Raw genomic sequence first — 24,886 nt, 5'->3', positions numbered from 1 at the left:
TGGGTGAGTGGATGGGTGAGGGGTAGAGTGGGTGGAGCAAACGGCAGACGGATAGGTTAGCATTTGCTGGATGTTTGACCTGGTAGGTGAGTAGCTGGGTAGTTGGTTAACCAGGTTGGGTATGTCTGCCTAGAAAAGGCCTGGTTCATAGTAAGAAAAAATTTTTTTCAATGTTGTGATTATATATATCATATGTACATATGTTGAGGTCTCCTGAGACGCCTGAGAACTGGGCAGTGGAGAAACAATAATGAACTAGACAGGACTCCTGGCCTCATGGAACTTACATGTTAGTGGAGGGACCAAATCAACAGACAAACTGGTGGATGGATGTTTGGGGGGCTGGGCGGAAAGATGTGTGTGGGGATGGTTGGGTACTTGCTTGGTTGTATGGATAAATGAGTATTTACTTGGGTGCTGGATGAATGGGTGGGTAGATGGGAAGTGAATGGGTGGGTTGAGTGGGTGTTTGGGTGAATTAATAGGTGGTTGGAGGGGTGGGTGGATAGGTGATTAGTTCATTGGATAGGTAGATGAGTGATTGATAGATTGAGGAAGTGGATGAGATAGCTAGGTGGTTAGATATCTGGATACATGGTGGATAAGACAAGACAACAGGCCATGATGTGTGTCTGATGGGGTAGTCCTGGAAGCTGTGATCCTGGGAACTGGGTGGAGAAGGTGACTTAGGACTGAAGACCTAGGGCAACTCTAGGGACATGGAGGTGCTGAAGTCCAGTGTGGATGATTGGGAAGGAGGGAGTGAGCTTGTGGTTGGAAGGTAGCTGATGGGGGGCAGGGGACAAAAGGCTAAAAATTGGCTGGGTGGAGTCTTCAATGACCTATCAATGACCCATCAATGACCCATGGGGGAACTTCTCTGCACCCTCCCCACTCTTTTAGTGCTTTTAGCGAGCCTACCATTGGAAGTACCAGTGGGACGATAAGGAGCCATTGGGGTGTGGGACGACAAGGGTGTTGTCATGGTAACGGGGCCTCTCCCTGGACTCAGGCCGTGCGGGCCCTTTAAGGGTGACCCGCTTGGCCACTCCCAACATGGCGGCGCGCCCGCTGGCCGCCCCCCCCGGGGCGGCGAGGGGGGGGGGGGTGGGGTGGGGGGGGCGCCCCGGACCTCCCCATCATGGCGGCGCGGCGGGGCTGTCGCGCTGAGGTCACGGCGGCGCGCCGGGGGGGCGGGGCGGCGGGGGGAGCGATTTAAAGGGACAATGTCCCCCGAGCGGTGGAGGCGGCGGCGGCTGCGGAGGCCGCGGCACCGGCACCGGGAGCGGCAGCGGCGGTAGCGGCAGCGACGGCCGCACCAAGGAGGGGAGCTCCGAGCCCCGGCACCTGGCCGGCGGCGCCGCCTCCCCGGTGAGGCCCGGCCCGGCCTGGGGAGCCCGCGGGTGGGGCGGAGCCGTAGCGGGGCGGGGGAGGCCCCGGGCCGGGCCGGGCCAGGCGGGACCCCCCGGGGCGGGGGCGGGGGCGGGGCCTTCAGGGGCGGGGCCTGGCCGGGGGCGGGGCCGTGCAGGTGGGGGGAGGGGCGGGGGTCTTGGGGCAGGTGTCCCCCCTACCTCGGCGCGTCCCGCGGGGTCTCCTGCCCCGGGGTGCACGGGCGGAGGGCTCATCCCCCGGACCCTGGACCCCCGAGGAGTGGGCCCGCGCGGCGCAGCCCCCACCTCTGCGACCCCTGGGGGGCGTCCGGGTAGGAGCCCCCTCCCCACGCTGCCAAAGTGCTCCGAAGTTGCGGTCCCGCCCGTTCCCCGCGGGCAGTGCCCACCCAGTGGACAACCGCAGGTGCTTCCTCCGGGCCTGGGTAGGGACCCCCACCAAGACTGCCAGCCCACGGAGGAGCCCCCTGGGAATCCCCAGGCCCCCGAGGGCAGCGCCTGCAACCAGGCCTGGCGCCCCGGCCCCGCCCCGGTTGCCTGGGCCCGGCCTCCCCACCATCTCCCTGGGGAGGGCGCCTCATTCCTGCCCTTCACTTTCCGCCGTTACCTTGAAGGTATTTATAGGTAGAGAGGACAACCCCCGCTCCCCAGGGTCCTCATTTCTGGACCAGGAGCCCTATCGTTTTCTTTCGCCCGAGGACTAGAGCAATCTTGGTTGGGGGGTGGGGGGAATGGAGGAGCCCAAGCTGGGTATGCATGAGGGATAATGTTGGGGAGAAGCGAAAGGGTTAATGCTGGGGTCACTTGAGGCTGTGTGTGTGGAGGGGGGTGAAGGGGTTAATGCTGGAGAACCCTAAGGTCCTGTGTGGGGGAAGGGTTGGAGTGTGGGAAAAGTGCAGGGATCATTGGTATGGGACAACCCAATGGAGAAAAGTAAAGGGGTAATGATGGGAGACTCCTGACGGTGTATAGGATCAGAGTGTACAAGTGGCTGGGATTCTTGCCGAGGAAACGAAGGCATGGCAGTAGGATGTGCGTGTGCATGGATGTGAGGGCAGGACTGGGGAAAGTGCAGCTGTGTGTGAATGAAGGGAGGCGTCTGGAGAAATGGTAAGATTGATGGAAGAAGACCAGGTGGCTGAGTGTGCATGTGTCAATATGGGTAAACTGAGGCAGTGCAGGATCTGTATAAAGGGGAGGAGTTATTGATGGGGAGACGGAGGCATGCTGAGGGTAGGGGCCATTGGGATAGAAGGTGTGTGGAAAAGGTCTGAACACCATTAGCTCCCCTGGGCTGGGAGGTAAACTGAGGCAGTGAGCTGCAAAGTTGAGGACTGAGGTTTTGAGGGATGGGAAACTGAGGCAGATTCCCTTTCCTCCATCCCCTAAGCACTTCCTTCTCTCTATCCCCAGGCCCACAATGCCCCGCTGAGCCGGTGCAGCAGCTGAGTGGATCCAAGCAGAGAAAATCCGATGGAGGGGTCTCTGGCAGGCAGCCTGGCTGCACCAGATCGTCCCCAAGGCCCAGAGAGACTGCCTGGCCCGGCGCCAAGGGAGAACATCGAGGGTGGGGCCGAAGCTGCTGAGGGGGAAGGTGGCATCTTCCGGTCCACCCGTTACCTGCCTGTCACCAAGGAGGGCCCCCGAGACATTCTGGATGGCAGAGGTGGCATCTCTGGTAAGAGAATGGGCCGTGTGGCCCCCAGGGAGCATCCAGCCCATTCCCCAAGGCTCAGAGAGAGTCAAGTCACCCAGCGCAGCAGCGGCTGAGCTGGGATGCTGATTCCGCTTGGGTCCAGAGCCTTTTCTTTGTACTCTGTTTAGTTTCTTATTTGACAGTTGTGAAAACAGGTGTCCTGGGAGCCAGTGACCAGACCAAGGCTCCCCACTGGGTGGTATGGAGCTGGGACTTGAACTCAGGTCAGCCTGGCTTCCTCCTCTGAGCATACTAATTGGGTCCAGAGGCCCATCTCAGCACCCCAGACTCCCTGCCCCCAGCCCACTTATTCCACAGGTATTCCCCACTCCCATCAGTCTATCCCAGCTCCCTCTGGCTGTCTGGGTGTATCCTGTTCCTGAACCACGGGCCAAAACAGCTTCTGTAGTGGCTAGGGAGAGGCTGGGTAGTCAGCGATGCTGGCTACCCCTTGGTTTACCCAGCAAAAAGGTATCTCACACTCTCCCCACCTCCAGACGTGTTATTCATTCATTAAATACTGAGCACCTTCGGTGTGCCAGGGTATGTGCTAGGCACTGGGAAGACAGCTGTAAACCAAAGAGGCAAGAATTCCTGCCCTCAAGGGGCTGACACTCTAGTAGGGGAAATGGACAACAAGCAACTAAACAAATATCAGAAGGACAGGTAGTGACAGATGCTGTGAAGGCATTAAACAGAGTGCCAGGATCATGCCTGGGAGACCTGGGAGACCCTCCCTGATAGAGTGGCATTTGAATGGAGCATGGAGTGAATGGTGGGACGGGCATTCTGGGTGGAGGGAACAGCCAGTGCAAAGGCCCTGTGGTGGGGAGGAGCCTGACGTGTCCAAGGACCTGGTAGGAGGCTGGTATGCCTGGAAAACAGTGGGCTGATGTATCACACCCCCCACCCCCATCTCCAAACACCTCATCAAGGGCTTCCTCCGTGCCAAGGCTTTTGCAAGATCATCTTCTGTCATTCTCCAAAGAACCCTGTGGAATAGCCTTCATTATTATTATCCCGTGTCAGAGATGGGGAAACTGAGACCCTGAGCGGTGACATAAGTTGCCCAACGTCACCTAGCCAGGGAGTAACATGGCTTGACAGCCCTCACTCTTAACCACCCTGCTGCATCCTCACAGATCCTTGACCTGCTCTGGCCACCTTTACAACTCATGATGCTCGGATATTTATAAATACACAGCATCTTCTAGGGGCCACGCCCTGGGGCACAGCGGTGACTGAGCACACACCATCCTCGCTCTCATAGACCCCACCATCTGAGGCTGGGGAGACAGATGTTATGATACCGTGTTATGACCCGGTGTTATGTCACCAGGTGTTATGACACAGCGGCTGGGGCTGTGATGAGGAAAGCACCTGGTGGGGAGCAACCAGGAGTTCCTGCAGGAAGTGAGAGGTAGGATGAGGGACAATGAGCCAGACCAAGGGGGAAGCAAGCATCTAGGCAGGGGGCTGTGTACATGCCAAGGCTTAGAGGTAGCTGGTGGCATCTGCAGGTGTCAGGCAGTGGGGTGGCAAGGTGAGACCCCTGAGGGCAGAGGGTACACCCAACTCCAGAGTATCAGCACTCAGGGAAACTTTAGCAATCCCCTCCTCTAAGCCATTAATAACTGAGTTAATAACTGAGGCTCAGAGAGAGGCAGAATCTTGTGCCAGGTCGCACAGCCGGCCAGGGCTGGGCGGGGACTTTGATTTTGTGGGAGCCTGAGGGTACAGGCTCTAGGGATCCCAGGGTCCTCTCTGGGTCTGGTTCCGAGGGATTGGACATCTCTTCTCTACCTCGCAGATGCCCCAGGTCTGGGGAGAGGGGAAAAGCAGGCAGGTAGGTGCATCCTCACTCCCACTGGGGAATCACCCAGGGTCTCATACGTGCATCTGTTTTATAGCTTGGGGAAGAGAGAAATGTGGCTGCTGAGGGGGGCCAGGCCCACCCTTGAAGGTTTCCCTCAGCAGCTGGGGGCAGGGATAGGAATGGCTTGACTTGGAGTGAGGTCATGGCCTGAATGTTGGAAGAATGCCTGGGTTTGGGACACCACGTCTCTCCCACTGCCCTCTCTGCCCGCTTGATCTCCCCCTCCGGGACACGGGCACCTGCCCTACTAGTCTTGTGATGCCTATAAATAGGAACAGGCTCTGGGGCTGCTATTCCACCCCAAAGCCTGGGCCTTCCTTTATCCCCACTCAGCCCTCAGAGCCCCCCAAGAGCACACTGGAGTGGCCACCTCCAAACTTCCCTGCCTGGGCAGGGGTGTGCCCGCTGCCTCCTCTGTCCCCCGTTACGGCTGTTTACCCAGAGCTCCCACACCCCCTCTGCAGCTCCTGCCTCTCTGGTTGGGCCTCCCAGGTTCAGAAAAGACTCAGGGGCTGAGGTGGTCTGTATGGATCGATGAAGAGTCTGGTACATGCCTGGCATTGTGTTGGGGACAGGGCACCCAGGGACAAATGACATATCATTTCTGCTGTCTTGAGGCCCCAGCCTGGGGAGAAAATCAGAGCATGGAGTGACCGGACCTGAGGCTCTGGGGTCTAGCCTCAAGCTTCCCCCTTGAGACATCGCTGAACCAGCCCTGATCCCCCAGGCCTCCCACCAGCCTTCTTCCCCTCCACCGCCACTTCTCTGGATGGAGCATTTACTACAATCTTGCTGGCACCCATTGCTGGCCCTGCGAGACTGGGTCGGTGGCTGTTCCCATTGCACAGCGGAAGAAACCAAGGCTCGGAGTGGGAGAGGCACGCCCTTCAGGGCACCCCTGGGGTATTGAACTCGGATCTGTCTGGCTCCAGAATCTAGGTTCTTGGCCACTCTACCAAGTTGAACCCCAGGCTTGGAGTTCAGGCTGCTTATGGACACCCCTTGCCATCAGCATTTGCAAACTCTCTCGGGGAACCCAGATGGCAGGAGCCAACAAGGGCCCCTTGGCATGGCCACTGCCTAAGGGCTGCGACCTAGCGCCTCATCTGACCCGTAGGGACTCCTGGATCCCCATCAACTGTGGAGGCCTCTGGGTGAAGCCCCCACCCCCAAGGTGTCTTGGACACAGGGCACTGCTTGGCCTGCTTCCTCCAAAGTCACTGCCACTAAAAATAGGAGCCTCGCTGGAATTGCTCAGACAAAGAGGCCACGCGGTCCCCTGGCTCTTGGAATTCTTAGACAACAGCAATCGCAGAATCATCAAATCTGGGACGCCCGGAATCTTGGGAGCTTGGGGTCCTAGAACCTCAAAAGCAGGATGCCCGGGACCCTCAGACCCACACCTCTAGGTCATGCTAGGGCAGGTTATATGTGAACCGGCTGCCCTCTCCTGAAAAAAGTCAAATCTATGACTCACATGTTCTCTAGAGCCCCTGTTTCTTGGCTGGGCCAGGCCTTTCTTTCCCAACTCTGAACGCCCTCTCCAACACCCCCATCCTAAAACCAGCCCTTGCACCCAGGCACAGCTCTGCTGCCCATCAGTGTATCCTGGTGGTTCTCAAATGGGGGTGATTCGCCTCCCCCTCCAGGGGACACTTTGGTAATGTTTGGTGACAATTTTGGTTGTCATGACCGAGGGCTGGGGAGGTGTGGAGGCCAAGGATGCTGCTCACCATTCTGCAATGCACAGGATGGACCCCACCCCAGAAAATGATCTGGCCCCAAATGCCAATGGTGCTGATGTTGAGACACCTTGCGCTGTAGATGATGCAAATTTCCATACCCCCACCACCCCTTCCAGAGGTCACACAACAGTCACAACCCTTTTCTTGGGTTCAGAAGAAGGACCCTCAGCCAGTGACCACACCTTTCTGGTCAACACCCTCTCCCCACCCTACCTCCACTTTTATCCCTTGACTCTCAGCAGTCAGCTCTCAATTTCTCGGGCCAATTGGATGATGAGGGATTGGAAAAAGAATTCGCCCCAGCCCTATCCCTTTTTCTGGACCATCCTCAAATTGAGGCTAATCCAACAATTGCATCTGTCGGGCTCTGGACGGGGCACAAGTTCCCCCAGTGTGTTAACCTTGGCCCGGGCAATTGGCCTGCTCCCCGATTGGCAAGCTTACCCACGTCAGGCAAGTGTGGCGGGCAGAGATGCAGGCCAGGATTCCTGTGGTCGCTCCAGGCATTGGCTCCACAGGCGGATAATAGAGAGTTGGCTCCATCTGTGTTGGTGGGGAGGGGGTCCCAGGAGGGGATTGGATTTCAGGACATAGGCCTGGGAGAGGGTGCAGAAGGCAGGGATGGGCTCTCTGCAGCTCAGGTTAGAACAGGTGCCTCGTTCATCATCTGGCAAGGATTTGCTGAGCACTTGCTCCATGCCAGGTGCTAGAATGCTGCAGTGAACGAAGCCGACAAAGTACCTGGTCTACTGTGACTACATGCTAGTAGGGGACCCAGCAAGCAGTCATCCCAAGAAAGAGCCAGGTGATTTCAGAAAGTTCTAAGAAAGAAATGAAACAGGTGCTGAGAGAGAAAATCATAGGGGCTCATTTGAGTTAGGCGGTCAGAGATGAGTGCCCTGGGCAGAAGGCATAGCAGGTGCAAAGGCCCTGAGGCCCAAAAGAGTTAGGTGGGCTTGGGGCTTCCTGAGGAGGCCCATACAGTCAGAATGGAGGCATTGAAGGGCCAGGAGAGAGAGGGGAAGTTGGAGAGACCAGCAGAGGTCTGACCTCATAGGGCCTTGTAGGTGGCGGCTAAGAGTCTGGTTTTTAGGCCGGGCACAGTGGCTCACACCTGTAATCTTAGCACTTTGGGAGGCCGAGGTGGGTGGATCGCTTGAGGTCAAGAGTTTGAGACCAGCCTGGCCAACATGGCGAAACGCCGTCACTACTAAACATAGAAGAATTACCCAGGCATGGTGGCACACGCCTGTAATTCCAGCTACTCAGGAGGCTAAGGTAGGAGAATCGCTTGAACCCAGGAGGCAGAGGTTGCAGTGAGCCGAGATTGTGCCATTGCACTCCAGCCTGGGCAACAGAGCAAGACTCCGTCTCAAAAAATAGAAGTCTGGTTTTTATTATAGGTATAATGAGAAGCCAGGTGAGTTTTTACCAGGGTGAGGCTTGTAAAAAACCACCCTGGCTGCTGGGTTGGGGGAAAGAGAGGAGGGTTGGAAGGCAGCAAGGCCCTGGGGTCCCCCAGGAGAGCCAAGGGGACTCTTCCAAAGAAACCCCTTTCAGGGCTCAGGACCACAGAGGCCACGGGCCTCTCAGGGAGAGGAACTGGGAGCCAGCAGGGCCTTTCTGAGGCACCTGGCAGGGCTCCTGGAGCTGGGGTGTGGAGGGCCCCGGCCAGGGGGACCCCAGCCCCTCAGGGTCTCCCCTCTCTGTTGCAGACGGGCAGCCCCATCCCGGCCTCAGCGAAGCCCTCCCCCGTGTCACCTCCGCCACCCATCGGATCAGCAGCTGGTGAGTGCCATGCTGGCCCTGACCTCAGGGAGGGCAGGGGGGCAAGCAGGACATGCCCAGGCCTCAGATAAGCCCCTGGGGAATGAGAAGGGGACAGGAGGGAATCAGGAGGCCAGGCAGGAGGAGGAGTCAGCTCCCGGCAGGCAAGCCCCTGGGCGTGTGCTGGGGTTGGGGGAGGTCTGGAATGAACACAGAGGGTCAACTCTCATTATCCCTGCCAGGAGCAGGGCCAGAGGGGCAGGAGCCTGGATGTTGGACCCTTCAAGTCCTCTCTCTGCCAGGTGACCCTTAGAATGATACTAGGCCTCTCTGGGCCTCAGTTTTCTCATCTGCAAAATGGAGTCCATAAGATGCATCTCATGAATTCGCCTTGAGGATCCAAGGGGCATTGGGTGAGAGCAGGAATCAAGAGCAATGCTGATGGTCCCTACTCTTTATTAAATGGCTTGGCAGGTGCTAATAAGTCATAGTCATCTTTTTTTTTTTTTTTTGAGAAAGTCTCACTCTATCGCCCAGGCTGGAGTGCAGTGGCGTGATCTTGGCTCACTGCAACCTCCACCTCCTGGGTTCAAGCGATTCTCCTGCCTCAGCTTCCCCAGTAGCTGGGATTATAGGCACCTGCCACCATGCCCAGATAGTTTTTGTATTTTTAGTAGAGATGGGGTTTCACCATATTGGTCAGGCTGGTCGAGAACTCCTGATCTCAGGTGATCCACCCACCTCAGCCTCCCAAAGAGGTGGGATTACAGGCATGAGCCACCATGCCTGGCCAGGTCATAGTAAGTTTATCAGGATTACTAATAGCTCTCAGAATGAGCAAGAATATTATTAATTAATTAATAATAGCTGCTATGAGCTACACTCTGAACATGTGTTTATCCCCACTGAATCCTTGCCACAGCCCCAGGAGGATGGTCCTTTTAGTATCGCATGTCAGTGATGGAGCTTAGAAAGGTGACCTTATGGTCTCCACCCAACATCTGAATGGAACATTTCCACATCTGTTCCATAAGCGTGATTGGCATCCCCTGATGGAGGCAGGATCTTGAAAAGGAAGGGAGAACCGATCTCAAATGGTCATAATAAGAACCCACACTGGGCCAGGCATGAGGTGAAACAAAGCATTTCTCAAGCACTGAGTTGTGTCATCTTCACCCTACACCCTGCGGGGTCATTGAAAGGTTGTGGTTGTGAGCATTTAAAGAAGCACCTGCCTTGTGTTGCAAGCACCTTTTGTTGATGATGGCTATGAGAAAGCTCCACAGATGTTGTATAAGGACAAAGGGGTTCCCAGTTCTTGGGAATTACCCCCAATTTCAGGATTGGAAAACTGAGGCCCAGAGTGGTTACCTTGCCTCCCCCAGCCCCACTCCCACCCCTCTGCCCAAGAAGGTCAGGATCACTGGGGCCAAAGGCTTAGCAGGGACCTTCAACCTCTCCTGACTCTGCCTTTCTGGAGGGGGAGATGCAGGGAAAAGGAACATTCCTTTGAACTGTTCTGCCACAAAGTTAATCGCCAAATCTGGGGGAGAGGTGAAACTAAATTAGCAAAATCACCCCAGTTTGGGGAGAACCAAGACAGAAGCAGCCTGGAGCACAGATGAGAGGCTTGGGTCCTCCCTGGGGAGAGATGAGAGTTGACTGTTGCCACCAGACTTCTTAGAGGTGGCCACATCCCCGTGTGGCCCAGGGGTGGTCTCCGTACATTCCCCCACAATGCAGCGGGGCTAGGCTTTGTGGACAGGTGCATCCTAGGAGTTGAACCTGGCTTTTGACCCGATAGGTCCGGAAGGATCCACGTGGACTCCCCCTACCTCCCACCCTCACCCCCACACCCCTGTCACCCTCGGGCTGGATCTCCGGGGCCTGCTTCAAACGGCCTGGGAGGACCCCCATCACCACCCTAGGAAGGAAAACTGCAGCCCATGGCTAACCTGTCCCCATTGGCACTTCCTTGCAGCTGCTGGGATGGAGGCAGCCTGGACTTCCGGCCGGGCTCCCCACCACCCCATCTCCTGGGCCATTTCCCAGGTACCCCTGATGGCCGGGGGCCCTGGGAGCACCCCCTTGTCCAGGAGGCTGGGGAGGGCATCCTATCTGAGCGGAGATTCGAGGACTCAGTCATTGTGAGAACCATGAAACCCCACGCTGAGCTAGAGGGCTCTAGAAGGTTCTTACACCACCGGGGGGAACCAAGGCTTTTGGAGAAACATGCCCAGGGCCGCCCCAGGTTCGACTGGCTCCAAGATGAGGACGAGCAGGGATCCCCCCAGGACGCAGGGCTGCACTTGGACCTGCCTGCCCAGCCGCCACCCCTCGCCCCCTTCAGGAGGGTGTTTGTGCCAGTGGAAGACACCCCGAAGACGCTGGACATGGCGGTGGTGGGTGGCAGAGAAGATCTGGAGGACCTGGAGGGGCTGGCCCAGCCGTCCGAGTGGGGCCTACCCACGTCAGCCTCGGAGGTAGCCACACAGACCTGGACAGTGAACTCGGAGGCTTCTGTGGAGCGGCTGCAGCCGCTACTGCCCCCGATCCGGACCGGGCCCTACCTGTGTGAGCTGCTGGAGGAGGTGGCCGAAGGGGTGGCCAGCCCAGATGAGGACGAGGACGAGGAGCCGGCCGTGTTCCCATGCATCGAGTGCAGCATCTACTTCAAGCAGAAGGAGCACCTCCTGGAGCACATGAGCCAGCACCGCCGAGCCCCGGGCCAGGAGCCCCCTGCGGACCTGGCCCCGCTGGCCTGCGGGGAGTGTGGCTGGGCCTTTGCTGACCCCACTGCCCTGGAGCAGCACCGGCAGCTGCATCAGGCCTCCCGGGAGAAGATCATTGAGGAGATCCAAAAGCTGAAGCAAGTTCCAGGAGACGAGGGCCGGGAGGCACGGCTGCAGTGCCCTAAGTGTGTCTTTGGCACCAATTCATCCAGGGCCTATGTGCAGCATGCCAAGCTGCACATGCGTGAGCCCCCAGGCCAGACCACCAAAGAGCCTTTTGGAGGCAGCAGCGGGGCTGGCAGCCCCAGCCCTGAGGCCAGCGCCCTCCTCTATCAGCCCTACGGAGCTGCCGTTGGCCTCAGCGCCTGTGTCTTCTGTGGTTTCCCCGCGCCCAGCGAGAGCCTGCTCAGGGAGCACGTGAGGCTGGTGCATGCCCATCCCCACTGGGAGGAGGATGGCGAGGCTTATGAGGAAGACCCTGCCAGCCAGCCAGGCACTAGCCAGGATGCTCACGCCTGCTTCCCTGACACTGCTGTGGACTACTTTGGCAAAGCTGAGCCGTCCTTGGCCCCCATGTGGCGGGAGAACCCTGCTGGATACGACCCCAGCCTGGCCTTTGGCCCAGGATGCCAGCAGCTGAGCATCAGAGATTTCCCGCTGTCAAAGCCACTCCTGCATGGCACGGGCCAGAGGCCTCTCGGAAGGCTGGCCTTTCCCTCCACACTAGCATCCACCCCCTACTCCTTACAGCTCGGGAGAAACAAAAGCACCGTCCACCCACAAGGGCTGGGGGAACGGAGGCGCCCTTGGAGCGAAGAGGAGGAGGAGGAGGAGGAGGAGGAGGATGTAGTGCTGACCTCCGAGATGGATTTTTCCCCTGAAAATGGGGTCTTTTCACCCCTAGCCACCCCCAGCCTCATCCCGCAGGCGGCCCTGGAGCTGAAGCAGGCATTCCGAGAGGCCCTGCAGGCAGTAGAGGCCACCCAGGGGCAGCAGCAGCAGCTCCGAGGGATGGTACCCATTGTGCTCGTGGCGAAGCTGGGGCCGCAGGTCATGGCGGCAGCCAGGGTGCCCCCAAGGTTGCAGCCCGAGGAGCTGGGGCTGGCAGGCGCCCACCCCCTGGACTTCCTGCTCCTGGACGCGCCGCTGGGCGGCCCGCTGGGGCTGGACACACTCCTGGATGGGGATCCGGCCATGGCACTGAAGCACGAGGAGCGGAAATGCCCCTACTGCCCCGATCGCTTCCACAACGGCATCGGCTTGGCCAACCACGTCCGGGGCCACCTGAACCGCGTGGGCGTCAGCTACAATGTGCGCCATTTCATCTCCGCTGAGGAGGTGAAGGCCATTGAGCGCAGGTTCTCCTTCCAGAAGAAGAAGAAAAAAGGTAGGGCAGCTTCACTTTTAAAGGCCCAGGAGACACATGGCTGGGCAACCCACCGTTGATCTAAATTCTCTCCCTTAGCGCCAAGCAGGGGGACACTGGGGCCTCTGCTCCTGAGAGACTTGAGAGCCACAGTGAAGGCCACCTGGTCGGTGGATGTGTGGAGACGCCCCAGTCCCCTGGCCATTCCAGCCACTGGAGGAAGGAGTGTGGGTAGAAGAGTCAGCCTCAGGCAGAGAATTTCATTCATTCCTCCATTCAACAAATATTTACTGAGCAAGGTTCCCCTCTGTTCTGGGGACCTGGGGACACAGCAGTGGACAGAATAGCAGTTCTTGGACTCTTGGAGTTCATGGCCCAGTCCAGGAGTGGTGGGACCCCCTCCACCCCACACTGGCCAGCTTCAGAACCCCCTGGGGCTGCCTGTAAGGTTTGTCAGTTCCCACAGTACAAGGCTCTGATTCCAGAAGTCTGTTTCCAACAGGAGCACCCTGGGTGGTTCTGACATTGGCAGACACAAAGCCCACTTGGGGAGGTGCCAGTATGGTGTTTGAGTGTGTGTGTGTGCGTGTGTGTGTGTGTGTGTCTACGCACTAGGGGTTGGGGGCAAGGGGTGACAACCAGGAAACCAGGCAGTGACGACACCGAGTGAGCAGGGCTGAGATGCGGGGAAAGCTGGGAGAACCAGGAGGCTGGGGAAGCTGAGACAAAGTCCCTAACTCCAGTTGCAGGGCTCAGAGAAGGCTCCCAGCAGAGGGCATTACATCCATTTGTCCATTTCTTCATCCAACAAATATTTAATTTACAGCACTTGCGTGATCATGAGTAAAAATAGTCACGAGAAGGCTATTAATCAAATACTCTCATAGATGATGGCAGGTCCACAACTGGAGAAGCATTTCTTTTTCTTTCTTTCTCTTTTTAAGAGACAGGGTCTTGCTCTGTTGCCCAGGCTGGAGTGCCATGGGGCAATTATAGCTCACTGCAGCCTCAAACTCCTAAGCTCAAGCAATCCTCCCACCTTAGCCTCCCAAGTAGCTGGGACTACAGGCACGCACCACTATGCCCAGCTAATTTTTTTATAGAGATGGGGTCTCACTATGTTGCCCAGACTGGTGTCAAACTCCTGGGCTCAAGAGATCTTCCCGCTTGGCCTCCCAAAGAGCTGGGATTACAGGCGTGAGCCACCACACCTGGCCCTGGAGAAGGGTTTTTGCAGAAGAGGTCCCTCCTTGACGTTGCCAGATGTGGGAAGGGGGTATCTGGGAGGGTCAGGCTTCCTGGAATGGGGTGGGAGGATGCACGAGCTGAGAGCTGAGGAGCAGGCAGGAGCAAAAGGGACAGCCACGGGGAAGAAAGGCAGTCCAGGGTGAAGCCCTGAATATGGGGAGGGGTTGGGGCTGGGGAGTAGCCCCCTCTCCACCTCAGGCAGTCCTGTCCTCTCTCCACAGTGGCCAACTTTGACCCAGGCACCTTCAGCCTGATGCGCTGTGACTTCTGCGGGGCTGGCTTCGACACACGGGCCGGCCTCTCCAGCCACGCCCGGGCCCACCTACGTGACTTCGGTATCACCAACTGGGAGCTCACTGTCTCACCCATCAACATCCTGCAGGAGCTGCTGGCCACCTCTGCTGCTGAGCAGCCCCCCAGCCCCCTGGGCCGAGAGCCTGGGGGTCCGCCTGGCAGCTTCCTGACCTCCCGTCGGCCCCGCTTACCTCTCACGGTGCCCTTTCCACCCACCTGGGCTGAGGACCCTGGGCCAGCCTATGGAGATGGTAAGGGGAGGGGACGGGCTGTGCTGGAGCCCCATCCTTCCCAGGGGCCCAGAGCATTGGAGGGGCGGGGCTGGAGGGGCAGCCGCTCAGCTTTCCTGGAAGCATTTTGAGTCACTTTACAAAGTATGTTGATGACTTTCCTTACAACCACCCTGCTATTTAGGTGTCCTTTCTGTTTCACTCAGGATCTGGGCCAGGTCTCTTTCTGGATCCAGTTTTTCACTATCTTTCCTGCCAGTGACTTTGACAAATGCTTACTGAGCTTTTACTGGGAGCCAGGCATCGTTCTAAGCACTTTACAAACATGAACTCATTTACATCCTCACAACAATCCTATAAGGCAGGTGTTATTATTTCTTCCACTTTACAGATGAGGAAACTGAGGCACAGAGTTTAATTAACCTGCCTGAGGTCACACAGCTGGAAAGGGTGAAACAGGGATTTAAAACCCAGGCAGCTGGGCCCCAGATTCTTTGCTGTTAATGACATCTTCTATCTTGAGAAGCATTGTTGTATAGAACTTTCTGAGATGATGGCTGGAAATATTCTCTAGATATCTGCACGTCTTACAGGGACACCATTGGTCATGTATGGCTGTTAAGAAGTTGAAATGAAGCTAGTGCCAGGCTAGTGGGGATCCTATTGGATAGTGCAGATCTAGAGTCTAGATTTTCTTTTTTTTCGAGATGGAGTCTCGCTCTTTTGCCCCGGCTGGAGCTCAGTGGCACAATCTTGGCTCACTGCAACCTCCGCCTCCGGGGTTCAAGTGATTCTCCTGCCTCAGCCTCCTGAGTAGCTGGGATTACAGGCGCTCATCACCACGCCCAGCTAACTTTTGTATTTTTAGTAGAGATGGGTTTTCACCATGTTGGCCAGGCTGGTCTCAAACTCCTGCCTTCCAGTGATCCGCCTGCCTCAGGCCCCCAAAGAGCTGGGATTACAGGCGTGAGCTACTGTGCCCAGCCTAGAGGCTAGATTTTTTCTGAGATGAAGTCTCACTCTGCCACCCAGGCTGGAATGCAGTGGTGCGATCTCAGTCACTGCAACCTCCAACTCCCAGGTTCCAGCGATTCTCCTGCTGAGTAGCTGGGATTACAGGCGTGCACCACCACGCCTGGCTAATTTTTGTATTTTTAGTAGAGACGGTTTCACCACGTTGGCCAGGCTGGTTTCAAACTCCTGACCTCAAGTGATCTGCCCGCTTCGGCCTCCCAAAGTGCTGGGATTACAGGCGTAAGCCACTGCACCCGGCCTAGAGTCTAGATTTTCAACCAATGTTTGCTTTATCCGGCAGACCTGATATGCTACTCCATTATCAAATGCTTGCTATGTACTAAGGTTTTTTAATTTTAATTTTTTATTTTTTTGAGACGGGGTCTTGCTGTGTTGCCCAAGCTGGTCTGGAACTCCTGGGCTCAAGCAATCCTCCTGCCTCAGCCTCCCAAAGTGCAGGGATTTAGAGGCCTGAGCCATCACGCCTGGCCCCTGTACTAAGATTTTAACGTGTTAAATCTCATTTATGCCTCAATGTAAGTCTGTACAACTAAGATTGCTGTGTTTCTGTTTTTTTTTGTTTGTTGGTTGGTTTGAGGCAGAGTCTCACTCTGTCGCCCAGGCTGGAGTGCAGTGGTGCCATCTCGGCTCACTGCAGCCTCCGCTGCCCAGGTTCAAGCGATTCTCCTGCCTCAGACTCCTGAGTAGCTGGGATTACAGGGCGTGCCACCACACCTGGCTAATTTTTAGTAGTGACGAGGTTTCACTATGTTAGCCAGGATGGTGTCTATCTCCTGACCTCGTGATCCGCCTGCCTCGTCCTCCCAAAGTGCTGGGATTACAGGTGTGAGCCACCGCACCGGCCATGTCCCTGTTTTAAGGATAAGGAAACCATAGGTCATCTTCTTTGCCACAGCCACACAGCTGTAGAGCTAGACTTCTGAGCAGCTTGTTTGGTGGTGTCTCTAGTGGAGGATGGCTTGGAAATCCATAAGTCCTATTTGGTGAAGGAGCCCAGGACTGGGCACTGCAAAGGGAGTGGACAAGTGAAGGGCCCAGTCTTGCACAGCCTGGCTTTGCACGAGCCTTTACAAGGCAGAGAACTTGGCTACAAAAAGTAGTTGGGCTCTGAGGAATGGAGAGTGTCTGAACAGGGGGTATCGCCCCTGGGACTGCTGGAGGCTGGGGCTTCCTTTGATACTATTCCTTCTTTTTTTTTTTTTTTTTGAGATGGAGTCTCGCTCTGTCTTGAGATGGAGTATCGCTCTGTCGCCCAGGCTGGAGTGCAGTGGCACGATCTCGGCTCACTACAAGCTCCACCTCCTGGGTTCACACCATTCTTCTGCCTCAGCCTCCCGAGTAGCTGGGACTACAGGTGCCTGCCACCACGCCCGGCTAATTTTTGTATTTTGTTTAGTAGAGACAGGGTTTCACCGTGTTAGCCAGCACGGTCTCGATCTCCTGACCTTGTGATCCGCCCGCCTCGGCCTCCCAAAGTGCTAGGATTACAGGTGTAAGCCACCACGCCTGGCCCTTTTTTTTTTTTTTTTTTTTAAAGATGGAGTCCTGCTCTGTCGCCCAAGCTGGAGTGCAGTGGCACGATCTTGGCTCACTGCAACCTCCGCCTCCCGGGTTAAAGCAATTCTCCTGCCTCAGCCTCCCAAGTAGCTGGGATTACAGGCGCCCACCACCATGCCCAGCTAATTTTTTTTGTATTTTTAGTAGAGATGGGGTTTCACCATGTTGTCCAGGCTGGTCTCAAACTCCTGACCTCAAGTGATCCACCCCTCTTGGCCTCCCAAAGTGCTGGGATTACAGGCGTTAGCCACCGCACCCGGCCCCTTCGGTACTATTCCTACTTGCAGCTGCTGGGGTCCTACCTAGATCTGTACTCTGGGCTCAGTCAGACCCACTCACAAGCCCACTTGAAGGGCATTCATGAGCCTGCAAAGGGGAGGGTGGGGCTATCAAAGCCCCCTCTCCTTGGAGGTTCAGAGAGGACAGGGGCTGGTTGAGGTGACACCTCAGGAAGGGGCAGAGTGGGGACTTGACCTCAGGCTTCTTGCTTCTGCTAAAGGCTGCTCCCCAGGCACTCAGCTCACCCACGTCTGGCTTGTAGTGTCTCAGGGGTGGCTGCGAGACAGAGCTGGCTCTGAGGATGGCTAGGGGTGCAGGAGGCACTGGGGTATAAGGAATCAGCCTACGGATGAGAGGAGCCAGGTTTGGCACTGCCCTGGCCTTGTCCTTGGGAGGGAGAGCTATGACCAGTCTTTCAGTGAATAACTGCGAGGCAGAGGGTTGGCGGTTAGGGAGTGATTGGGAAGATCTTGGAAGCCTTGCCTTAAGTAAGGATATGCAACATTAGGGCTAGGTCTGGGCACTGGCGCTGCAAGGCTGTCGTTAGAAGCCTGCCCCCTCTCCCTAAGTGGGCAGGAGGGGGCGGGTGCCAGGTTGGGGGCGGGGCAATGTTCCGATTCTAGCCCCACCCAACTGTCAAGGAACAGCTGGGGACAATCGGAGAGAGAAGCAGGCGGTGATTGAAATGTGTTGCCGGCCTTGTGGGGTTCCCTAGGTCTGCGGAACGGCACCGTCGGGGGACGGTTGGATAACAGGATGATACTGGAGGGATTCTTGTGGTTGGAGATCAGGTGTTTTCCAGGATCCCCGACTCGGAGATGGAGACTTTCCGGAAAGGGAATGGGGCAGGGTCCTAGGGCAGGTCCTAGCTCCGCCCGTCGGGGCTCTTAAGAGTTTTGACGTTGTTTAAGGGGGTCTGAGTGAGGCCGGAAGATTCCCATCCTAGGGATAGAGATGTCCGGGGACTGGGCTGGGGCGGCGGTTAGAGGCCGCTGGGCGCCCAGCGTGGGTGCATCCGCTAGCCAGGGCGCGCGACAAGCTTCCAGCAGCTGCAGCCGTCCGCCCTCAGGGCCCAGACGAACGGTTTCGCTCGTGGCACTCGGCGCTCGGCGCTCGGCACTCGGCAGGCCAACCTGGGCGCGCCCTGAGGGGCGGGGCGGAGCGGGTTTGGCGGCGGCGGCAGCGGCACTCGGCACTCGGCGCTCAGCTGCTCCCGCCTGGGGCGGCCGCCCCGCGTGCGCCGGAGCCAAGATGGCCGCCTCCACCGCCCAGTGCCGAGTGACAAAAGCGGAGAGCAAGGCGGCGGCGGGGCCGCGCGCGGGGGGCGCCCGGGAGCGCGCGCCCGCGGGGGCGCCCCCGCCCAGCCCCCCGAGCCCGGGCCCCGCGGCACCCCCCGCGCCGCCGCCGCCGCCCCCACCCCCGCCGCCGCCGCCACCACCACCGCCACCGCCACCGCCGCCGCGGGACGGGCCCAAGGCCGAGCCGGAGCCGGGGCCCGGGCCCGCGTCCGCTCCCGCGCCCGGTAAGAGCCCGCGCTTGGGAGGGTGTGGGGAGGGGAAGGTCGGAATCCCGCCTGCCGGTGCCGCCGCCCCCGACGCCTTCCGTCCAGTCTGCGGGACCCCCCCCTCCCCCAGGCCCTTTAGTTGTGTGGGCCCAGGGCCTTCTGTCGCCGCTCGCAGGGTCCCAGGCCTCAGAAACACTCCTCCGCCGCTCCTCGAGACCTTTGCCCCGTCTGACAGATGTCCCTTGCCCCCTTTGGAGCCCCGGGAGCGTCCCTTGCCACGGTTCCGGTCCGTCCGGTGCGGAAACTCACTTCAGCCCTGCCCCATCTGACAGACGCGCCCACCCGACCCGGAGACTTTGACAAAGTCCTCGGTGCCCCAGTCCTCAGCGCCTACTCTTTGCTTCTGCGAGACTCAAACTGAGCATAGAACCTACATGGCCCCCTGCCCCGTTACATCCCACTGAACGCCTCCAAGGCCCCATTTGGCACAGTTCCTTCATCCTTTGCTCTGAACTCTAAATTTGGAGTTCAACTGGCCTCCCAGGCCCCTTTGAACAACTAGACGTGAAAATTCACCCTTGGTTCCCTCTGCCACACACTCCTCACCCAGGGATGCTGCGGGCCTGATAGATGTCTCAGAAACTTAACACAAAGTTCTGTGATTCCAACTCTTTCTGTCCGAAGTCAGATAGCTGTAGGTGCAGACACCTTACCCCACTTAGGGCCCAGCTTGTGATCAGTAGGCCACCCCTGGTCCCCCATTGTCTCTGCAGCCCCAGCTGTCTTGTCTGGTGGAGATTCCTCACAAGTGCTGTGAAGCCACCTCCCTGTCCCTGGCTCCCTGGCTCCCTGCCTCTGTGTGGCCTCTCCAGCCTCCTGACCCTGGTGTTGTGTTGAATTCCCTCTCTGAGTGCCTCCCACCCTCACCCTCGAGACAGGCAGACGTTCCCCCTCACAAGTTCTGCCCAGAGAGATCTTTTCTTTGAGATCCCCTGGGATGGGAGTTTGGGCTCAGATTTGCATTAGACCCCAGACCTGTCCATGCTGTAGTGTGTGGAAGCAGCTGCTGGCGTCTGCTGTCAGTGGCAGCCTCAGTGTCCCTGCACTGGACTGGTGCTGGGGGTTATGGTGGAACCTCAGCTTTCCTGGGGTGAGTCGCTTCGCAGAGTGAGAGCGGACATCAAGGATAAGGAAGAAGGCCATCTTCTTAGTTCTGGGTATAGACAGCCTGAAATTTGTCTGGGCTGAGCCTGTCTCCCCAACCCACAGGCCTGGGTTCTGAGGAAAACGCAATGGTGGCCATGGACTTGGGCTCTCCCTCGCTCCCTAAGAAGAGCCTGCCTGTCCCTGGGGCCCTGGAGCAGGTGGCCAGTCGGCTGAGCAGCAAAGTGGCTGCAGAGGTTCCTCATGGCAGCAAACAGGAGCTGCAGGACCTCAAGGGTGAGTGGCCCAGGTGGCATGGCAGGGGATGCTGGCCAGGCTGGTTACACTCACAGGAGCACTCTCGTGCCTTGGGGTTAATGTGGGGCCCAAGGTTGCCCGCAGTTTTCCCTCTGGCACCTTGAGGCACCAAGGTTGGCACTCAGCTGTCTTCTCTCTTGAACTTCTACTGTCCTGGGCATGCGTGGCCCTGAGCTGCACCCTCACGGGGCGAGGGACAGCATCCAGAAGCAGTGGGTGTGGTGGTCCAGAGCTCATACTCAGACCCAGCTCATTTGCTGAATCTGGCCTTTGCTAGCTGTGCAGTCTCTCGCATGACACCATTTCTTCGTCTGTTGATCCTAAGGTTGTTATTGACTAGTGACGGGCCCTGGGGTGGACTCCAGGGAGGTGAGAGGAGCAAAATGAATTTGGCCCTTGCTCTTGAGGGCCATTCAAGTTGGGGAACGGGGAGACAGAGAAGCAGATAGGCAAGGATAAAGGCTCTGTGGAAGAGGGTGCAGGAGACTGCAAGGACCAGTGTTTCGGGCAGGAGTTGAGCCACAGAGGGTGGTTAGAACTTAGTTCAGTGAGGCATGTGGCTGTCAGGTCAGCGTTTGTGTGAACCTGTTGCCAGGGCACCCCGTAGGCCTGAAAGGTTGTGAAAGGTGTCCCACTGGCTGGATGACAGAAGGGCTCTATCTCCTGCTGTGTGCCCTTGGGCACAACTTTTCCCTCTCTGAGTCTCAGTTTCTAACCCTTATTGGCAAAGCAGCCAAGCTATTCTCTGCGTTGTTAGGGTCATTGTGAGGTTTGGGGGGCCTGACGGAGGCAAAACACTTCCATGGAGCCTGGGTGAGTGGGACTCTCAGGGGAGGAGAAGCGGGAGAGCTGGGCCGTGGGCCTCACAGCCTGCTCTCCCGGCCTCTGTGTTGCCCTTCAGCCCAGAGCCTGACCACCTGCGAGGTCTGCGGTGCCTGCTTTGAGACCCGAAAGGGCCTGTCCAGCCACGCGCGCTCCCACCTGCGGCAGCTGGGAGTGGCAGAGTCGGAAAGCAGCGGCGCACCCATCGACCTCCTCTACGAGCTTGTGAAGCAGAAGGGTCTGCCTGACGCCCACCTTGGGCTGCCCCCAGGCCTGGCTAAGAAGTCCAGCTCACTGAAGGAGGTGGTCGCCGGGGCCCCCCGGCCCGGCTTGCTCAGCCTGGCCAAGCCCTTGGATGCCCCTGCTGTCAACAAAGCCATCAAGTCGCCTCCCGGCTTCTCGGCCAAGGGCCTGGGCCACCCGCCCAGCTCTCCACTCCTCAAAAAGACACCACTGGCCCTGGCGGGCTCCCCTACCCCTAAGAATCCTGAGGACAAGAGCCCCCAGCTGTCCCTGAGCCCCCGGCCGGCCTCCCCAAAGGCACAGTGGCCTCAGTCTGAGGATGAGGGGCCCTTGAACCTCAGTGAGTGTGGGTCCCAAGAGCCGAGGGAGGTTCTGGCGCTGGGAGGGTCGGGACCTCAGGTTGGGCTGTAGCCCAGGGACAGGGCCCAGGGTGGGTGGGGGCGGTGGGGACTACAGCTCCCATGTCCTGGGCCAGCCAGGCCAGAGTATTGGTCAAGCCTCTGCATCTCCTTTTGGGCCGCCTTGGATGTGGATCGTGCCTCCCACTTTACTTTGCTGATCTTCCCCTGAAAGCCTCACTGCGGCTGATGAGCCTGCCAGGGTCATGCTCGCCACTGAGGGGCAGCTCTTGGCTTTCTCTGGGCCTGTGGGTAGGGGCGGTGAAGGTAACCAGGGTTCCTGTGGCCTAGCTTTCTCAGTGGTAGTTGGAAGCATCTTGGATAGACAGGGGATCACCTGATGGGAGGTGCCCACGATTGGTCCTGTCATCAAGTCTTCCTGGCTGTCCACCACGCAGAGGCAGCTCTCTGCGCCTGCCGGTGAAGCCCCACCTCCTGGGCTGCCTGTGGGCACGGCAGGCAGGGTTTGGGAAGAAACCCTCCAGGTGCAGTGAGCAGGTTTAACAAGGACGTCCCTTACAACATCAGGCTTTCCCATATCTTTGTGGACATTAGAGTCTGGGGGTGACCCCAGGGTCTCACCCCCTGCCCAATGGAGCCCCCCATTTGGCACCTTATGTTCCCTTGAAGTTGCTTCCACTGAGTCTGCCGTGCTTCCAGGGGCAGGGCCTTGAGCAGGTGTGCCCTTGGCTGCGTGAGCCCAGCAGCCACCATCGCCCCCAAATAGCTCCCATAGCAGGGATCCTAGGGGAGAGGGTCTGGGAGTATCTGATTACCTAGAATTTGGTCACTGCCTGTCTACCCAAAGTCCTTAAGCTCTCTACACTCCCCTCGATGCCAAAGGGCTAGGCAGGAAACAGGATGTCCTGCTTCCCAAACTTCAAAAGAAATCTGCGGCCTGAGTCTTGGACCCCCCAACTGCCTGAGCAGCCAAAAATCACACCAGACCCTCCTACCTCAGGCCCCCAAGGCCGGCCAAGGTGGCGGCCGTGAACCCCCCCTGTGTTTTGTCTCCGCAGCTTTAGATAGTGACGGGGGCAGAGAGCTGGACTGCCAGCTGTGCGGTGCCTGGTTTGAGACCCGCAAGGGCCTGTCTAGCCACGCCCGTGCCCACCTGCGCCACCTGGGCGTCAGCGATCCGGACGCCAAGGGATCCCCCATAGACGTGCTCCACGGGCTCATCAGGAGGGACGGCGTCCAGATCCGCCTCCCACCCAGGCGCGGCGCCCTGGCCCACCCGGGGCGGCCGCCTCCCACCTCCGCGGCCCTCTCCTTGCTTCCCCCCCCACCGCCGGCCAAGAAGGCCAAGCTGAAGGCCGCGGGTATGGCCAGCCCCTGGGGGAAGCAGGACCTCTCGGCCGCCGCAGCCGCCGGCATTTTCTGGGCCTCTGATGTGGAGCCGTCTCCTCTCAACCTCTGTAGGTTCTCGCTTCAGCTGCCCCCTCCTCACTGCGGGCCCTGGAGCCCCTCCCGGGGGGGGGGTCACAGCCCCCTCCCTGCTGGGGCAGGGAGTAGACAGGGGCCCTTGGCAGTGGGCCGGTTCTGCCCAGAGATCTTGTTGGCAGTGGGCTGCTAGGCCCTCTCTCTTGGCCTTTGACCTCCATGACCCTTCCTGAGAATGAAGGCCAAGGTGGGGAGATCCTGCCTTTTAGTGTGCAGAGCACCCACATCTGCCCCTGTCTGGATGGCACATAGCACCTAGGCTGCCTCCCTGCCTCACCCTGTCCTTGTTGGGACCCACAGAGCAATGGAATCTTGGTTCCATCCTCCTCCGCCAGGACTGAGGGCCCATGTGCTCTCTGGAGCCTCCCCTCACTCCTGCCGGGTATCTGGCCCCCAGCCCCGCTCCTCCACTCCCTTACCTGCACCTGCCCTCACCACCCTAACCTGTGGGCGTGCTGCTGCCGCCCACGCCCAGCCGACCAGGACACTCCTGCAGGTGACCATGCTGGCAGTTCCACGATGCTAACTGCCCCTTTCTCCTCCTGCTGCAGCCTCAGGCCCAGAGCCAGCACGAGACATCCGCTGCGAGTTCTGTGGTGAGTTCTTCGAGAACCGCAAGGGCCTCTCGAGCCACGCGCGCTCCCATCTGCGGCAAATGGGCGTGACCGAGTGGTACGTCAATGGCTCGCCCATCGACACGCTGCGGGAGATCCTGAAGAGACGGACCCAGTCTCGGCCTGGTGGACCTCCCAACCCACCAGGGCCAAGCCCAAAAGCCCTGGCCAAGATGATGGGCGGCGCAGGTCCTGGCAGCTCACTGGAAGCCCGCAGCCCCTCGGACCTTCACATCTCACCCTTGGCCAAGAAGTTGCCACCACCACCGGGCAGCCCCCTGGGCCACTCACCAACTGCCTCTCCTCCTCCTACGGCCCGAAAGATGTTCCCAGGCCTGGCTGCACCCTCCTTGCCCAAGAAGCTGAAGCCTGAACAAATACGGGTGGAGATCAAGCGGGAGATGCTGCCGGGGGCCCTTCATGGGGAACTGCACCCATCTGAGGGTCCCTGGGGGGCACCACGGGAAGACATGACACCCCTGAACCTGTGTAAGTGTGACCCTGCAGTAGGGCAGGGAGAACAGTTGGAGGGGTCTCCTCCCTGCCTCCCCTTGGGGGTATCCAGAGTGCCTAGGGTTGAATTGGAAGGGAGGACACGCAGGTAGAGAGGACACAGGGTTAGCTGTGTATTCCTGCTATGCAGACCCCTGCAACTGAGCTGCTGCTCAATTGTCCTTTATTCATTTGAGAAGCAGGATTGTGTCATTCAGTGACAGCAGAAAGATTCCATCTCTTGTGCCATTTCAATCGATTGGTAGTGGCTGCCAGCCAGACTCCTAGGGAGAAAGACTGCGGGGATCCATTAGTGATGTCTGCTACAGCAGGAGCGTAGGGACTGGCAGTGAACGTCTGAACTGTGTCTTTCTGACATTTTTGGTAATTAAGTGCTTGACATTGGGAGTCAAGTGTGAGTTAAGATCTCTGTTCCTCCACAGTCTAGCTTTATGTGACCTTGGGCAAGTTTCCTCATTTGGAAGATGGAGATCAGCATAGTCCCAACTCTGTCTGGTTTTCTTGAGGATTAAGTGGGATAAAGCACTTAGCACAGCACCTGGTTACAGAAAACTCTGTATGCCATCATTGTAATGTCACTTGCTCGCTTGCCTGTCACACCAGCACTGTGTTCATTCTGCTCAGGTTGATTGGATGCCCACTGTGTGCTGAGCAGGTGAGGGCAGCCCAGGCTTG

The 24,886-nt window shown here is 58.2% G+C and overlaps 1 protein-coding gene and 1 non-coding gene across 19 annotated transcripts in view, besides 5 other annotated features; one reads left to right on the top strand and one right to left on the bottom strand.

Annotated features, from left to right (window-relative positions):
* Nucleotides 1,189-1,318: a silencer, noted in NCBI's record as "silent region_10282". NCBI's record gives its function as "represses an Ori minimal core promoter by ATAC-STARR-seq in GM12878 lymphoblastoid cells {active_cell/tissue: GM12878}" and the evidence as "EXISTENCE:reporter gene assay evidence [ECO:0000049][PMID:35858748]".
* WIZ (WIZ zinc finger) overlaps nucleotides 1,213-24,886 on the top strand; it is a 29,979-nt gene continuing 6,305 nt past the window's right edge. The window contains exons 1-9 of one of the 18 annotated variants that reach the window (NM_001371589.1): nucleotides 1,213-1,371; nucleotides 2,802-3,066; nucleotides 8,421-8,493; nucleotides 10,454-12,591; nucleotides 14,040-14,363; nucleotides 19,987-20,157; nucleotides 21,080-21,583; nucleotides 22,661-23,059; nucleotides 23,636-24,187. In NM_001371589.1, coding sequence (NP_001358518.1) covers nucleotides 2,862-3,066; nucleotides 8,421-8,493; nucleotides 10,454-12,591; nucleotides 14,040-14,363; nucleotides 19,987-20,157; nucleotides 21,080-21,583; nucleotides 22,661-23,059; nucleotides 23,636-24,187 — 4,366 coding nt within the window. In that variant the 5' untranslated portion in view covers nucleotides 1,213-1,371; nucleotides 2,802-2,861. Of the gene's footprint in view, nucleotides 1,372-1,554; nucleotides 1,795-2,801; nucleotides 3,067-8,420; nucleotides 8,494-10,453; nucleotides 12,592-14,039; nucleotides 14,364-17,858; nucleotides 18,005-18,407; nucleotides 18,736-19,986; nucleotides 20,158-21,079; nucleotides 21,584-22,660; nucleotides 23,060-23,635; nucleotides 24,188-24,886 lie in introns of those variants that run through there. The other 17 variants (XM_047439175.1, NM_001439245.1, XM_005260005.5 and 14 more) reach the window with 17 other exon arrangements.
* Nucleotides 1,369-1,488: a silencer, noted in NCBI's record as "silent region_10281". NCBI's record gives its function as "represses an Ori minimal core promoter by ATAC-STARR-seq in GM12878 lymphoblastoid cells {active_cell/tissue: GM12878}" and the evidence as "EXISTENCE:reporter gene assay evidence [ECO:0000049][PMID:35858748]".
* On the bottom strand, nucleotides 1,561-1,621 carry MIR1470 (microRNA 1470). The gene has a single exon (NR_031716.1). It is a non-coding gene; the product is annotated as a microRNA 1470 (primary transcript).
* Nucleotides 1,839-1,948: a silencer, noted in NCBI's record as "silent region_10280". NCBI's record gives its function as "represses an Ori minimal core promoter by ATAC-STARR-seq in GM12878 lymphoblastoid cells {active_cell/tissue: GM12878}" and the evidence as "EXISTENCE:reporter gene assay evidence [ECO:0000049][PMID:35858748]".
* Nucleotides 18,298-18,537: a silencer, noted in NCBI's record as "silent region_10279". NCBI's record gives its function as "represses an Ori minimal core promoter by ATAC-STARR-seq in GM12878 lymphoblastoid cells {active_cell/tissue: GM12878}" and the evidence as "EXISTENCE:reporter gene assay evidence [ECO:0000049][PMID:35858748]".
* Nucleotides 18,924-19,522: an enhancer, noted in NCBI's record as "H3K27ac-H3K4me1 hESC enhancer chr19:15542458-15543056 (GRCh37/hg19 assembly coordinates)". NCBI's record gives its function as "activates a minimal SCP1, AML or CMV promoter by ChIP-STARR-seq in primed H9 embryonic stem cells {active_cell/tissue: H9 hESC(primed)}" and the evidence as "EXISTENCE:reporter gene assay evidence [ECO:0000049][PMID:30033119]".

The sequence above is a fragment of the Homo sapiens genome, chromosome 19 (genome assembly GCF_000001405.40).
Source record: "Homo sapiens chromosome 19, GRCh38.p14 Primary Assembly".
Taxonomy (NCBI): domain Eukaryota; kingdom Metazoa; phylum Chordata; class Mammalia; order Primates; family Hominidae; genus Homo; species Homo sapiens.
The sequence above is the reverse complement of the archived record's forward strand: the minus strand, read 5'-3'. Positions and strand labels throughout refer to the sequence as shown.